Here is a 16,643-nt window from a genome sequence, read left to right on the forward strand (position 1 = left end):
ATGTGCCCAGGGCTCCGCCACTGACTTGGCACTTCATGCATGAGCTAGGACCCACCTGGTCATCCAGTGAAAACACAGCTGTCCCAGGACACAGGTAAGAAGCTGGACAGTTGAGTTGTGGGTGGCTCGATGAGGGCACCCAGTGAATGAACAGTGGCGTGGGACCAGACCCAGCTCTGCGCTCTTCGTGCCCCACCACGGTGGCTAAGCTTTCAGAATCAATTAGTCCTGCTGCTTTATGTCCTTGCCAACGTGTGTGTTCATACTTCTGGCAGTTGGTTTGAGGAATACCACAGCCAAAACCTGCTACAATGTGGTCTGCTTCAGAGAGCTTTGCTCAGTGGCTTCCTTCTGTCATCTTGAGTGAGTTGAGAAAAAGAAAGAGAGGATTTGAAGGTTTATTCGAGGCTGTTCTAGAGTCAGCGAAACACTTCCCATATTTCTGTGGGCATGGCCAGATGGGGCATTGAGATGCTGCAACACCAAGCCCACAGTGGGCATTCCAAAGACAACACATGTTATTCCTATATAAATCAGGCACAGAGATGGCAAACATCTTCTTCATTTAGGTTGTGTTGAATTGTTCACTCATCTTGGCTATGTGGGACTTCGTTATGGGAGAAGACAATCCCAGCTGTAGGTAAAAGCAAAGGGTGTAGAAAAAAGAAAAATACGTGTGGGCAGAGGATGAAATGGACTTGAAGAGGTCACAGAGTGAGTGAAGACAAATAAATAATAGGGGCAAGGGAGGGATATGAAAAGTAGAGCTCACTGAGTGGTCAGATTTGTACTTTGCTTAACCCCAAAGGGGAAGAAGACGCTATGTGTTATTTCATAAATATCCTGCCATCAGAGAGCACCACCCAACCGGCATCATTTACCAGGACTGGGCTAACCTAAAATGAAACCACAGTCATTGTTGCTTTTGACTGAAATTAGAAAACCCCAGGAAACACACAACCCTATAAAAATATTTTTTTAAAGAGCAAGTCACCATGTCTCTCTCAAAAAGAAGTACAGACCAAGTCAGAGCAGATGCACGCTGTGCCTGGGAAAGGACAGCATGATCCGATCAGAGTCAAAGTACACACACACACACACACACACACACACAGTCTCTTTCTCTCATGCACATGAACACACATATATACACACATGCGCACACATGGGCACACACATACACACATACACACGTGCACATACACACATACATACATATAAACACACATATACACACATACACACATACATATCTAACCACATATATACACCACGCACACAAATATGCACACATACATACACATATTTTACATACATACACACATGCACATGCACATACACAAACATACATACGCACATATACACACATACATACCCCCCCACACACATATATACATATACAAACACGCACAACACACACACATATATACACACCCATATACTTACATATATACATACATATGTGAGCACACACATGCACATGCACACACATACCCATCTATGCACACATACACATCCACACACACATACACATACACACACAGCCTGGATTAATTGTGTCCCCTGCAAATTCCTATGTTGAAGTCCTAACCCCGAGTACCTCAGAATGTGGCTGTGCTTGGTGACAGGGCCTTTAAAGGGTGAAGTTAAAATGAGGCCTTAGGGTGGGCCCAGATCCAATCTGACTGGCGTCCTGAGGAAATTTGGCCGCATACAAAGACCAGGGATGCGCATGTGCAGAGAGAAGACCACGTGAGGACACAGCCAGAAGACGAGAAGACGGCTTGGTCTTCCTGTGGATGGGCGTTCCGTTGTTTCCAATGTTTTGCTGCAATAACCATCCTTTGTGTGCCGTTATGTCCCGGAATATACTTTTATTTCTATGGGACAGATTTCCAGGAGTGGGATGGCAGGATCAAAAGTAAAGATTTTAATAAAAACCGGCAATTCTGTGACCATCTCTAAGAAACTGTTTGTTTCTTTCCATGGGGAAACTGAGGCCCTGAGAGGCATCTGATTTCCACAGTAGCCAGGGAGCTTCAGCAGATTTTGGCAGGGCTCAGGGAACCCAGGTACATAAATCCAAAGATGACGGACTCTTCTCCAGGAGCCACTTCCGCCAGCAAAGCTTCCCTCTAAATCTTGTAGTTCCCTGTCAGGGAGCAGAGTACACCCCGCCCCCGCCCCAGCCTTCAGAAGTCCTGGGCTCTGCCCTTCCCCTCTGGCTCCACACTCAGCTAACTCCATGCCGGGCATGGTGCTGGGCCCCGGGGCACGATCTGAAGGCGCTCATCGCCTGCAGGGGACCATGACCAGCAAACCCAAGGTGGTTTTACAGCACATGCCAAGGGCTTGGGGAGATCCAAACAGGGCACCTCCGAGACGGAGGAAAGCAGGGGCAGCCAGGGCTTCCCAGAAGTGTGACACAGCACGTCTTCGCTGTTCTGGAAGGGCAGGCAGGGGCCAGCCCAGCAAAGGAGTGGGCAGGGTGTGTCTGACAGAGGAAGTGGGTGGGAGGAGGTGTGGCCCGTGCAGGAAACACAAAGTCCACACTCTCCCATCCAGGTGCCAGATGGGATTGGGAGACTCGGCTACCCTCCACAATCTCACTCTGCCAGGCCCCAGCTCCTCACCCATCCCCCACTGCAGCAGGTTCTGGCCAGCCTGTTGCTTTACTCCTGCACTCTCCTTACCATTCTCTCTAGGAAAATCCACGTATTGGCTCCCACCGTGTCTAGGATGCCTTCCCTGGATGCTGCCACTTGTCCCTTGTCTCCCACAAGCAGCCCAGTGCCTGGCGCTTTGTAGGTGTTCACTGAGTCCCTGTGGCACTTACCTCTGGAAATCCACATCTGGCATTTGATGCTATGCTATGAAGAGTTTTAGGCTCGTTAGGGCCTTGTCTTTTGCACTCACCAAGCCCTTTGCCGTGCACACCATCGGGGCTCAGCCAGGTGCTGAGAGACACAAACAGCATCCTTTGGGTCTCTGTGGACGTTGCAGCAACCTCATTTGCTGAGAATCATTTACACTGTGCTGAGACTTTGTTGAGAATGTGGCTGCACAAGCAAAATCCTCCTTCCCCCAAAGTACAGTAATTCAATTTCCAGCCTTCCCATCCAAAGAGCGGGGAGATATAGAATAATGTCATACCCACAGGAAGAGAAAAGGTTTTTTGTATGTTTCTCTTCCCACCAGGGCAGAAAACCATTAAGTATTGGCAGGCTGAGCTATCCCTGTCTCTTGTGAGCTTGTAAGGATTTCCCTTAGGTATTTGGCTCAGGGAGTTTTTAGGCAGATCTGGTGTACAGTTTAAACACACTTGGTAGAATCAGTACTGCTCTGAATAAGTGAGGAGTAAGGGATCATAATAAAGCCCATTGCTGGGGTCTCCCAGGTTCCGGAGCTTCCCTGTGCTGCCTGGGCAGTGGCCAAGCTCCCAGCATCTCACCCATGTCGAGAACACAGTCTTCTGATCAGCCACCACCCTGCCTGTGATGGACACGGGCAGCTGAGACCCACTTATTCTGCTGAGACAGGATCACGTGGGCATTCTTGAGTCTTGCCTTTTAAAGACATACTAAAATTGTCATTAAAGCTCATTTCTAAAGGCCCTTTTCTTCAGTTAATATTTTGCAGTCTAAACAAAAGTTGCACTTTATCTCAAATTGAAAGAACTTAAGAAATCTATGTTTGCTGGAAGTAATAACATATTAAGGAATAGGATGTTTATGCTAAGAAAATGTTCACTTGGGGCACTGTGCTTTGAGATAACTGTGCAGGCCTGCTCTGGAATTATTAGACATCTAGTCCTATTCTGTCCATAGGGCAGCCATTTGCAGCTGCAAAGTAACTTCAAAGGCCTCAGAAAGGGTCTACCTTAGAAAATAGCCAGCTTGAAAGACTTCCATCTATTCTGGGCAGAGGCTATTTCTAGAAAACGATTGCCCCGATAGCCGATCTCTAAGAGAGCCCTTTATCTAAGAGGTGTCATCTGGTTGGATTCTGAAATCATCTAGTAGGGTTTAAGGTGGTGCATTAATCAGAGGAGTTTTTTTCAGGAACCATGACAAGAGGGCAGTGGGGTCAATATCATCAATCCTGGCAGGAAGAGCCAGGTGCTGGGAACTGGTCCCTGTTCTTCTCTGAACAAGATTTGCAAACTCGGGCAAGTCACTTAGCCTCAAAGGCCTCTCTAGTTAATGATCTGATTTATTTAACTTTTTGGAGATAGTTACAGAGTATTAGGTAGAGGAAAGCATTACTGGTGAGTAAAAGAGAAACATATATCCAGTATAGTCCACACTTTCTGACATGGGTTGGTCCCATTTTTCCCTGATTAATGCTATCAGGATATAATCACTTAGATTACAGTGCCTGGAAGAGGGTGGAATAATTCAGGAAAAGTTTATGAAATAGGCAAATCTTCACTTGAGTTTAGAGGGATGGAGGAGGAACCTGGCCTGGAAGGGGAAGAATGTCCTGGGAGCGAGAGGATTTGCTTATCTGGTGCCTTGAGGAAGTGGTGGCTGGAATGGAGAGTTGGTGCTAGAGTTTGGATAAAAAGACAAAGGTTGAGAAACTAGAGTCATAGGAAAAAAATGTGTTAATTGATTTGCTGAGCTAGATAATGCATGGGCTTACTAGAAATAAGAGCTGTGGATTCAGATAAGAAATCTGCTGATCAGTTCCAGCTGGTTGATGTGTTAGTCTGTTCTCATGCTGCTAATAAAGACATACCAGAGACTGGGTAATTTATGAAGAAAAAAAGAGGTTTAATGGACTCACAGTTCCACTTGGCTGGGGAGGCCTCACAATCATGATGGAAGGCAAAGGAGGAGCAAAGGCACGTCTTACATGGTGGCAGGCAAGAGTGTGTGCAGGGAAACAGCCCTTTATAAAACCATCAGATGTAAGACTTATTCACTATCACTAGAAAAGCATGGGAAAAACCCACCCCCATGATTTGATTACCTCCCACCAGGCCCCTCCCACAACACATGGGGATTATGGGAGCTACAATTCAAGATGTGATTTGGGTGAGGACACAGCCAAACCATATCATTCTGCCCCGGCCCCTCCCAAATCTCATATCTTCACATTTCAAAACTAATCATGCCTTCCCAACAGTCCCTCAAAGTCTTAACTCATTTCAGCATTAGCTCAGAAGTTCACAGTCCAAAGTCTCATCTGAGACAAGGCAAGTCCCTTCCACTCATGAGCCTGTAAAATCAAAAGCAAGTTAGTTACTTCCTAGATACAATGGAGGTACAGGCATTGGGTAAATACACCCATTCCAAATGGGAGAAACTGACCAAAATGAAGGGGCTACAAGCCCCATGCAAGTCTGAAATCTGATGGGGGTCATTAAACCTTAAAGTTCCAAAATCATCTCCTTTGACTCCATGTCTCTCATCCAGGTCAAACTGATGTAAAATGGTGGCTCCCACAGCCTTGGACAACTCTGCCCTTGTGGCTTTGCAGGGTACAATCTCCCTCCCTGCTGCTTTCACAGCTGGCATTGAGTGTCTGTGGCTTTCCGAGGCACGCAGTGCAAGCTGTTGGTGGATCTACCATTCTGGAGTCTGGAGGACAGGGGCCCTCTTCTCATAGTTCCACTAGGCAGTGCCCTAGTGAGGACTCTGTGTGGAGGCTCCAACCTCACATTTCCTTTCTGCACTTCCCTAGCAGAGGTTCTCCATGAGGGTTCCACCCCTGCAACACACCTCTGCCTGGACATCCAGGCATTTCCATACGTCTTCCAAAATCCAGGTGGAGGTTCCCAAACCTCAATTCTTGTCTTCCACACACCCACAGGACCAACACCACGTGGAAGCTGCCAAAGTTTGGAGCTTGCACCCTCTGAAGCCATGGCCTGAGCTGTACCTTGGGCCCTTTTAGCCATGGCTGGAGTGGCTGGGAGGCAGGAGGCAGTGCAACAAGTCCCAAGGCTGCACATAGCAGGGGCGTTTTTCCCTCTTAGGCCTTTATGCCTGTAATGGGAGTGGCTGCCATGAAGTTCTCTGACATGCCCTGGAGACATTTTCCCCATTGTCTTGGTGATTAACATTTGGCTCCTCATTACTTATGCACATTTCTGCAGTTGGCTTGATTTTTTTTTTTTTTTTTAGATGGAGTTTTGCTCTTGCCACCCAGGCTGGAATGCAATGGCTGACTGCAGCCTTCACCTCCCATGTTCAAGCATGGGATTACAGGCACCCATGACCATGCCTGGCTAATTTTTTAGTAGAGACGGTGTTTCGCCATGTTAGCCAGGCACTTAAATTTCTACCCAGAAAATAGGTTTCTCTTTTCTACGGCACCGTCAGACTGCAAATTTTTCAAACTTTTATGCTCTGCTCCCTCTTGAATGCTTTGCTGCTTAGAAATTTCTTCTGACAGGTACCCTAAATCATCTCTCTCAAGTTCAAAGTTCCACAGATTTCTAGGGCAGGGGCAAAATGCCACCAGTCTCTTTGTATAGCAAGAGCGACTTTTCCTTCAGTTTACATCAAGTTTTTCCTCTCCATCTGAGACCACCTCAGCCTGGGCTTTATTTTCCACATCTCTATGAGCATTTTGGTCAAAGGCATTCAACAAGTCTCTAGGAAGTTCCAAACTTTCCCACATCTTCCTGTTTTCTTCTGAGCCCTCTAAACTTCCAAACTCTGCCTTTTACCCAGTTTCAAAGTTGCTTCCAAATTTTCGGATATCTTTACAGCATTGTCCCACTCCTGGTACCAATTTACTATATTAGCCTGTTCTCATACTGCTAATAAAGACATACCTGAGACTGTGTAATTTATAAAGAAAAAGAGGTTTAATGGACTCATATTTCCACATGGCTGGGGAGGCCACACAATCATGGTGGAAGGCAAAGGAAGAGCAAAGGCGCATCTTACATGGTGGCAGGCAAGAGATGATGTGCAGGGGAACTGCCCTTTATAAAACCATCGGATCTCGTGAGACTTATCACTATCACATGGACAGCACAGGAAAAACCTTTCCACATGATTCGATTACCTTTCCCAGGTCCCTCCCATGACACATAGGGATTATGGGAGCTACAATTCAAGATGAGATTTAGGTGGAGACACAGCCAAATCATGTCAGTTGGACTTCATGGACTAGGAAAATAAAATTTAAAAATAGAATGATTGACACAGGGTTGCCAACAAGATACTCAAAAACAAAACAAATAAAAAAACAAGCCAAACCAGCAATGGCAAAAACGTTATATGGCTGGACATTGTGGCTTATGCCTGCAATCCCAGCACTTTGGGTGTCTGGGGCGGGAGTTTGCTTGAGGCTCAGAGTTCAAGACCAGCCTGGACAGTAAAGTGAGACACCCATCCAGAAAAAACGAATGAAAGGAAGGAAGGAAGGAAGGGAGGAAAAGAAAGAAAATTAGCCAGGCATGGTGGCATGTGTATTGTCCCAGCTACTTGGGAGGCTGAGGCAGGAATATCACCTGAGCCCAGGATGTTGAGGCTGCAGTGAGCCAAGACTGCACTCCAGCCTGGACAACTGAGCAAGACCCTGTCTGGAAAAAAAAAAAAAAAAAGAACACGTGGATGTCAGAAACAGTGGGAATCATCTGCGAATTTAGAATAGAAGAAATTTAACCTTATAAAAATGTAATGACATTGTTTTTACACTCCTCTCCCATTTTGACAGAAATGAGCAAATGCAGTCACAGACCAGCACCATGATCTAACTAACCCATTTTGCAGACAGGATGATGGAGGCCTTGGAGATAGAATCAAAATGTGCCTTGATGTTCATGGGCTCTTTAGTTTACAGTGCACTTTAGTGAGATCTCTGAAAATAAAAAGATGTGTCTTTTCTTTGCAAGGGGTCACTGAAGATAGGGAAGTGGTAACAAGAGATCTTTATTTTATACTTTGTTATTAGCTTTAGATCCTGAATTTATACTATAAGCTCTAGAAGCTTTAAAACTTGAATAGAATTAAAATTGTAGAATTATGAAACTAAGAAGGCAAACGAATCTGGTCTGTCCCCTCATTTAACAGAAGAGCCAACTGAACCCTGCGAAGATCATGATTTATCTTGGTTCCTGACACACAGAGCTGGACACGCTGTGTCTGGTTTTATGGCCATTCATAAAACCCAGAAGTCATGTGCTGACCACCAAGGTTGAAGACTGGCATCAAAGTGATTAAGATCAATAATTGTAGACTAAAGGTAGTGAAGCAAAGTACATCTGATTGGAATTTTTGATACAAATATTTGTAATAAGAACATGTTAAATAGAGGATAATTTAAAATTGGTTAACTCACACACTGATATCTGTGGAAGAATCTAAAGTAAACTTCCCAAATGCTTGTGTGCCGTGCTGACTTTCTAACTGGGCTCAGCTGAGGCTCTAGGAAGCCTGGACACTCCCAGGCTCGCCTGCCTGCTGTGTGTATTCCACTGGGGAGAGTGGGGGCGGGTGGGGTAACCAGGGTGACTCCACCAGATGCCAGGCTGGGTCTGTGCCCACACATGGGGCCAGCCAGACAACATAGGAGCCTGTTCAGCTTCCCCCAGAACAAAACGCAGGATTGTTCCAGGGCTGCCCAACAGATAGGCAATAGTTACACTGGATGCTACTAAAGGAAATCCTGCCTTTAGATCAGGAATGCTGTAAAAAGATCAATCATGCCTCATGCCTGGGAAGTACCTTCTTAAAAAGAACAGCATCACCTCTGTCTTATCATTTATTCCCCCACAATGATCCAATAAAGTTGGTGGGGGTGTGGAAGCTATCCAGAAGACAGAGTAACTCATGTCTGGGCCACCAGGCCAGTATTTGCCAGGAGCTCAACTAATGCTTGGATGAAGAAAGAAAGGATGGAAGGAAGGCGGGGGAGGGAAGTGAGGGTACAGGTGGCATCTCTCTTTTAGACAGGAGAAAACAGGCTCAGGGAAAAAGTGATTTGTCCAATGTAACACAAGGGATTGATGGCAGGAATGTGTATGGGGGTGGGGGGCTTTGGGCTCCTGGCCCAGGTCTCTTGCTTCCCAGGACCCCTCCAGGGCCTCTCAGCTCTTTGCTAACAGGTACATTTGAGTTACACTTTTTAAAAAAATCTTATTTTAATTGGCAAATACAAACTGTATATAATTATCATGTACAACATGCTGTTTTAACATATGTACACATTGTGGAATGGCTAAATCAAGCTGATTAACATATGCTTTCCCTCACAAACATCAATTGTTTGTTTGTGATGAGAACACTTAAAAATCTCCTTTCTTAGAAATTTTCAAGAATACAATACAATGTTATTAATTGTAGTCGCCATGCTACATAATAGATCTATTGACCTTATTCTTCCTGCCTAACAGAAATTTGTGCCCTTTGACCAACATCTCCTCTCCTCTAGCCCCTGGTAACTGCCATTGTACTCTCTGCTTCTATGAATTCGACTTTTTCAGGTTCCACATATAAATGAGATCACATAGTATTTGTCTTTCTGTGTCTGGCTTATTTCACTTCACATGATGTCCCCAAGTTCATCCACGTTGTCTCAAATGACAGGATATCCTTCCTTTTTAAGGCTGGATAGTATTCAATTGTGTATATATACTACATTTTATTTATCCATTTATTTGTTGACGGACACCGGTTGATCCCATATCTTGGCTACTGTGAATAGTGGTACAATGAACATGGGAATGTAGGTATCTCTTCAACATACTCATTTCATTTCCTTTGGATATATACCCAGTAGTGGAATTGCTGGATCATAAGTTATTTGTAATCCATACTGTTATCCATAATAGGTGTACAATTTACATTCCCACCAAATGTGGAAGGGTTCCCTTTTCTTTACATCCTTGCCAACACTTGTTATCTTTCACCTTTTTGGTAAAAGCCATCTAACAGGTGTGAGTTGATGCCTCATTGTGATTTTAATTTGCATTTTCCTGATGATTAGTGATGTAGAGCGTTTTTCATATACCAGTTGGTCATTTGTGTGCCTTCTTTTATGCAATCTTGTTTATCTATTTTTGCATTTTTTTCCTGTACTTTTGGGTCATATCAAAAAAAATTATTGCCCAGGCCAATGTCAAGAAGTTTTTCTCTTGTTTTCTTCTAGTAGTTTTACAGCTTCAGGTCTTACATTTAGGTCCTTAATCCATTTTGATTTTATTTTTAATATGATGATGTTAGACAAGGATTTAATTTCATTCTTCTGCATGTGGATATCCGGTGTTCCCAATACCATTTATTGAAGAAACTGTATGTGCTTGGCACCATTGTAAAAAACCAACTGACTGGCCGGGTGTGGTGGCTCACGCCTGTAATCCCAGCACTTTGGGAGGCCAAGCGGGAGGATCAGGAAGATCAGGTCAGGAGATCAAGACCATCCTGGCTAATTCAGTGAAACCCCGTCTCTACTAAAAAATACAAAAAACAAAATTAGCCAGGCGTGGTGGTGGGCACCTGTAGTCCCAGCTACTCAGGAGGCTGAGGCAGGAGAATGGCATGAACCCAGGAGGCAGGGCTTGCAGTGAGCCAAGATCGCGCCACTGCACTCCAGCCTGGGTGACAGAGTGAGGCTCTGTCTCAAAAAAAAAAAAAAAAAAAAAAAAAAAACAACTGACTAACTTCATGGATTTATTTCTGTGCTTGCTATTCTCTTTCACTGGTCATTGTCTCTTTTTATGCCAGTGTAATACTGTCTTGACTATTATAGCTTTATAGTATATTTTGAAGTCACGTAGTATATAATGTCTCTGGCTTTTTTCCCCTCAATATTACTTTGGCTATTTGGGGTCTATTGCTTTCCATATGGATTTTAGGATTTTTTTTCTATTTCTGTGAAAAATTTTACTGGAATTTTGATAGGAATTGCATCGAGTCAATAGACGGCTTTGGGTAGTATAAACATTTTAACTTTCAGTATAAACATTCTTAACAAATTTAGTATAAATGAATGTACCTCAGTGCAATAAAGGTGACAAACCTTTATTTATTCATAAATTGATATTAATATTAATTATTCTAATCCATAAACATGAGATATCTTTCCATTTATTTATGTCTTCCTCAACTTCTTTAATCAACGTTTTATGGTTTTCAGCATACAGATCTTTTACCTCCTTGGTTAAATTTAGTCCAATTATTTGGTAGCCATTTAAAATAGGATTGTTGTCTTGATTTATTTTTTGGTAGATTTTGGTGAGTGTATAGAAAGGATAATGATTTTTGTATGTTGTGGATAGAAAACATATCCACAATTTATGTTTTGTGGATAGGAAACATATCCATAATATATGTTTCGTGGATACAAAACATATATTGTGGATACAATACATACTGATTTTTGTATGTTGTGGACACTAATTTTTGTATGTTTTGTATGTTGATTTGCTATTCTGCAACTGCACTGAATTTGCTTATTAGTGAAGAATAGTTTTTTGGTGGTGTCTTTAGGGTTTTCTATATACAAGAGTATGTCGTCTGCAAACAAGAACAATTTAACTTCTTCCTTTCCAATTTGGATGCCTTTTATTTCTTTTACTTGCCTACTGGCTCTGGGTAAAACTTCCATTCCATAAAACTTCTATTATGTTGAATAGAAGTTGCAAGGGTGGGCATCCTTGTCTTATTCCTGATGCTAGAAGAAAATGCTTCAACTTTTCATTGTGGAATATGTTAACTGTGGGTTTGTCATATTAAAGTTTTGTCATCTTTATTGTGTTAAGATACATTTATTTATACCTAACTTTTAAAGAATTTTTATCCTGAAAGGATAATGAGTTTTATCAAATGCTGTTTTTTGCATCTATTGAGATGATCATATGATTTTTGTCCTTCATTCTGTTAATGCAGTGTATATCACATTTACAGATTTGTGTATGTTGAACCATCCTTGCATTCCTGGGGGAATCTCACTTGATCATGGTGAATGATCCCTTTAATGTACTGTTGGATTCAATTTCCTAGTATTTTGTTGATGATTTTTGCATCCATGTTCATCAGGGATATTGGACTCTAATTTTCTTTTCTTATAGTGTTCTTTTCTGTTTTTGGTATCAGGGTAATTCTAGCCTCATAAAATGAATTTGAAAGTATTCCCTTTTTTATTTTTTGGAAAAGTTTGAGGAGGATTTCTCTTATTAGTTCTTTAAACGTTTGGTACAATTCAGTAGTGAAGCCATTAGGTCCTGGACTTTTCATTGATGGGAGACTTCTTATTACTGATTTTAATCTTGTACTCATTGCTCTGTTCAGATTTTTTATTTCTTCCTGCTTTAGTCTTGGTAGGTTGTTTGCCTCTAGGAATTAATCCATTTCCTTAGTTATACAATTTGTTGGTATATAATTGTTCAAAGTAGTCTCTTATGATCATTTGTACTTCTTCAGTATCTATTATAGTGTTTTCTCTTTCATTTATGATTTTGTTTGAGTATTCTGTTTTTCTTAGTTTAGATAAAGTTTGTCCATTTTAATTATCTTTTTAAAAATTATTTCTTAGTTTTGTTTCTCTTTTTTATCATTTTTCTAGTTTCTTGTTCTTCTGTTTCTGCTGTGATCTTTATTATTTCCTTTTCTCTACTAACTTTTGGGTTAGTCTGTTCTCCTTTTTCTAGTTTTTTGAGATATAAATGTTAGCTTGTTTATTTGAGATCTCTCTTCTTTTTTAAAATAAATATTTATTTTTATTTTTCACTTTTTGTTTGTTTGCTTTTTGAGATGAGTCTCACTCTGTCACCCAGGCTGGAGTGCACTGGCTCACTACAACCTCTGCCTCTCAGGTTCAAGCAATTCTCCTGCCTCAGCCTCCCAAGTAGCTGGGATTACAGGTGCCTGCCACCATGCCTGGCTAATTTTTGTATTTTTAGTGGAAATGCAGTTTCACCACGTTGGCTAGGTTGGTCTTGAACTCCTTACCTCAGGTGATCTGTCCGCCTCAGCCTCCCAAAGAGCTGGGATTACAGGCATGAGCCACCACAGCTGGCTGTCTATGTTTCACTGTTTTGTGACAGAGTCTTGCTCTGTCACCCAGGCTGGAGAGCAATGGTATGATCATGGCTCACTGCAGCCTTGACCTCCTGGGCTCAAGTGATCCTCCCACTTCTGCCTCCCAAGTAGCTGGGACTACAAGTAAGTCATCACAACTGGCTAATTTTTCTTTCTTTCTTTCTTTTTTTTTTCTTTGTAGAGACAATGTCTCACTCTGTCATCCATGCTGATTTCAAATTCCTCCTGATCTCAAGCCAGTCCTCCTGCCTTGACTTCACAAAGTGCTGGAATTGCAGACATGAGCCACTGATCTGGGCCCTCTTTCTTCTCTTTTGATGTGTTTATTGCTATAAACTTCCCTCTTAGAACTGTTTTTGCTGCATACCATAAGTTACTGATATGGAATGTTCTGTATATGTCTATTAGTTAGATTTGGCTTAAACTGTAGTTTAAATCTGATGTTTCATTATTAATTCTCTGTATGATTTGTCCATTGCTAAAAGTGGAGCTCTTAAAGTCCTCTATTCTTATTGTATTATGCTCTATCTTTCTTTTTAGATCTATTAATATTTGCTTTGGTTGACATATGTAGGTACTCCAGCCTTGGGTACATATATTTTTACAATTGTTATATTATCTTAATAAATTAATCTCTTTATCATTGTATTATAATGATAATAATATATTCTTTGCCTTTTTTACAGTTTTTGACTTAAAGTTTATTTTATCTGTTACAGATTGAGTTTCCTTTATCCAAAATGGTTGGGACCAGAAATGTTTTAAATTAAGTTTTTTTTGATTTTGGAATATTTGCATTATATATTTACTGTTTTAGCATTCCTAATCTGAAAACCAAATCCAAAATTCTCCAGTGAGCATTTCCTTTGAGCGTGATATCAGCACTCAAAAGAATTTTAATTTTGGAGTATTTAAGACTTCAGGTTTTTGGATTAGGAATATTCAATCTGTACAACTATCCCTACTCTTTTTTGGTTTCCATTTAATAAAATATTTTTTCCATCCCTTTCCTTTCAGTCTAGGTATGTTGTTATAAGTGAGATGAGTATCTAACAGGCAATATATAGTTGGATCTTATTTTTTAAACCATTCAGTCACTGTGTCTTTTTTTTTTTTTTGAGAAGGAGTCTCACTCTGTTGCCAGCCTGGAGTGCAGTGGCACAATCTCAGCTCCCTGCAACCTCTGCCTCCCAGGTTCAAGCGATTCTCCTGCCTCAGCCACCTGTGTAGCTGGGATTACAGGTGCACGGCACCATGCCCAGCTAATTTTTGTATTTTTAGTAGAGACAGGGTTTCACCATATTGTTCAGGATGGTCTCGATCTCTTGACCTCATGATCCCCCCACCTCGGCCTCCCAAAGGGCTGGGATTACAGGCATGAGCCATCATGCCCCACCCACTGTGTCTTTTTATTGGAGAATTTAATCAATGTTCATTCAAGATAGTTACTGGTAAGTAAGGACTTACTATTGGCATTTTGTTAATTGTTTTCTGGTTGTTTGGTAGACCTTTTGTTTCTTTCTTCCTCTCTAGCTGTCTTCCTCTGTGATTAAGTGGTTTTTCTCTAGTGTTATGCTTTGATTCCTTTTTATCTTTTGTATATCTACTATTGGTTTTTGCTTCTGGTTACTAGGAAACTTACAAAAAATCTTAGTTATAACAGGCTATTTTATACTGTTAACTTAATTTTGATTGCAAGAAAACTTTACACCTTCACTCTCCACCTCCCCACATTTAAAATTTTTGATGTCAAAATGTATATCTTTTTATAGTATATACCCCTTAACAAATTATTATAGCTATTATTGTTATTATTTACTTTTACCAGTGAGTTTTATTTTTTCAGTTTTTTTTTGTAACTAATTAGCATCTTTTTACTCAGCTTGCAGACTCCATATAACCTTTCTTGTAAGACAGGTCTGGGGGTAATGAACTCCCTCAGCTTTTGTTTGTTCAGTAAAGTCTTAATATCTCATTCATTTCTGAAGAGCAGCTTCGGTGAATACAGTATTCTTGGTTTGTAGTTTTTTCTTCAGCACTTTGAATATATTATCTTACTCTCTCCTGACCTGTAAGTTTCCTGCTGAGAAATTTGCTGATAGTCTTACTAGAACTCCCTTATAGGTGATTTGCTTATTCTCTCTTTCTGCTTTCAGAATTATCTCTTTGTCTTTGATTTTTGACAGTTTATGTCTTGATGTCATTGTGTTTGAACTGAATTGAATTGGAGACTTTTGACCATCCTGTACCCGGATATTTATATCTTTCCTTGATTTGAAAAGTTTTCTGTTATTATTTCTTTAAACAAGCTTTCTACCAGTATGTTTCTCTCTCTTGAAGTCCTGTAACTCAAATATTAGCTCCTTTCATGTTCCTTCATAAGTTCAATAAGCTTTTTCCTTTTTAAAGGATAAATTCCTTTTTATCCTTTTTTCTTTTTTCCCCTTTGACTGTATGTTTTCAAATAACCTATCTTCAAGTTCAAAGATTCTTTCTTCTACTTGATTGATTCTGTATCTGATGTGTTCTGTTGAATTTTTCATTTCATTCATTGTATTCTTCAGTTTCAAAATTTCTGTTTGACTGTTTAAAACAACTTCAATCTCTCCATTACGTTTCTCATTTTGGTCATTTATTATTTTCTGATTTCATTGAATTATCTGTATTTTCTTAAAGTTTGCTAAACTCCCTTAAAACAATTATTTTGAAATCGTTGTCAAGCTGTTAATATATCTCTATTTCTTTGGGACCAGGTACTGGGAGATTATTCTGTTCTTTTACTGGTGTTACATCTTCTTGGTTTTTCATGTTTCTTGTTGCCTTACACTGATGTTTGCACATTTAAAACAGAGACTTATTTTAGCCTTGGCAGACTAAAAAAAGTGTCCTACACAAATCAGCCTGCCCAGAGATTCTAGGCAGGCTCCCTGGTATAGTTTGTAAGAAACTTTACTGCTGGAATCTTCAGGCAGGCTGACCTGGTGCCTGGGCCCATGTGGTGGGTCTACATCCTGGATCCACTGGGGGGACAAGTTGACTGGGTCTATGGGGTGGGCCTGGAGCCTGGGTCCAGAAGGGCAGCCCTGGAGGGAATGGCCTGAAGCCTGGGTCCACAAGAGCTGACCTGGCACTGGAGTGGGCCTTAAGCTTTAGTCTGCAGGGGCTTTCTGGGCACTGAGATGGTCCTGGGGCTTGGATACATTGGGGTGTGCCTGGTGTATTGGTCCATTGGGGCCAGCCTGGAGGGTGGGTTCATGAGGGCTAACCTAGATCCTCGGGCTGTAGAGGCTGGTTTGAAACTTAGGTCCACAAGGGATGAGGTCTGGGGGGCTGGCCCAGCACTGGGATCTACTGGCATAGGCCTGTAAAAATCTTCATAGATCATGGAATCTTTGGCTGAGAAACACTTGCTTCTGAACAGAATGAGGTTCTATGAGGCCTGTCTAAGTAGGAGTTCTGTTAAGCTGTGCACTTAACAGAGAAGATGAAGGTAGTATAATACTGAGAGACAAGAGTTCCACTCAGCCAGAGAAGAGTGACCTCACTGAACATGCCAGGCTTTCAGCTAATGTAGCAGAAAGGCCACATCTTAGAAGTAAAGCTACTCTACTTAGAGTAAGGACTATTCCAGACTCAGCCTAA

At 41.6% G+C, this 16,643-nt stretch overlaps 3 annotated features.

Annotated features, from left to right (window-relative positions):
- Nucleotides 304-804: an enhancer, noted in NCBI's record as "H3K27ac hESC enhancer chr6:160719355-160719855 (GRCh37/hg19 assembly coordinates)". NCBI's record gives its function as "activates a minimal SCP1, AML or CMV promoter by ChIP-STARR-seq in primed H9 embryonic stem cells {active_cell/tissue: H9 hESC(primed)}" and the evidence as "EXISTENCE:reporter gene assay evidence [ECO:0000049][PMID:30033119]".
- Nucleotides 1,842-2,428: an enhancer, noted in NCBI's record as "H3K27ac-H3K4me1 hESC enhancer chr6:160720893-160721479 (GRCh37/hg19 assembly coordinates)". NCBI's record gives its function as "activates a minimal SCP1, AML or CMV promoter by ChIP-STARR-seq in naive H9 embryonic stem cells {active_cell/tissue: H9 hESC(naive)}" and the evidence as "EXISTENCE:reporter gene assay evidence [ECO:0000049][PMID:30033119]".
- Nucleotides 5,395-5,895: an enhancer, noted in NCBI's record as "H3K4me1 hESC enhancer chr6:160724446-160724946 (GRCh37/hg19 assembly coordinates)". NCBI's record gives its function as "activates a minimal SCP1, AML or CMV promoter by ChIP-STARR-seq in naive H9 embryonic stem cells {active_cell/tissue: H9 hESC(naive)}" and the evidence as "EXISTENCE:reporter gene assay evidence [ECO:0000049][PMID:30033119]".

The sequence above is a fragment of the Homo sapiens genome, chromosome 6 (genome assembly GCF_000001405.40).
Source record: "Homo sapiens chromosome 6, GRCh38.p14 Primary Assembly".
Classification (NCBI taxonomy): domain Eukaryota; kingdom Metazoa; phylum Chordata; class Mammalia; order Primates; family Hominidae; genus Homo; species Homo sapiens.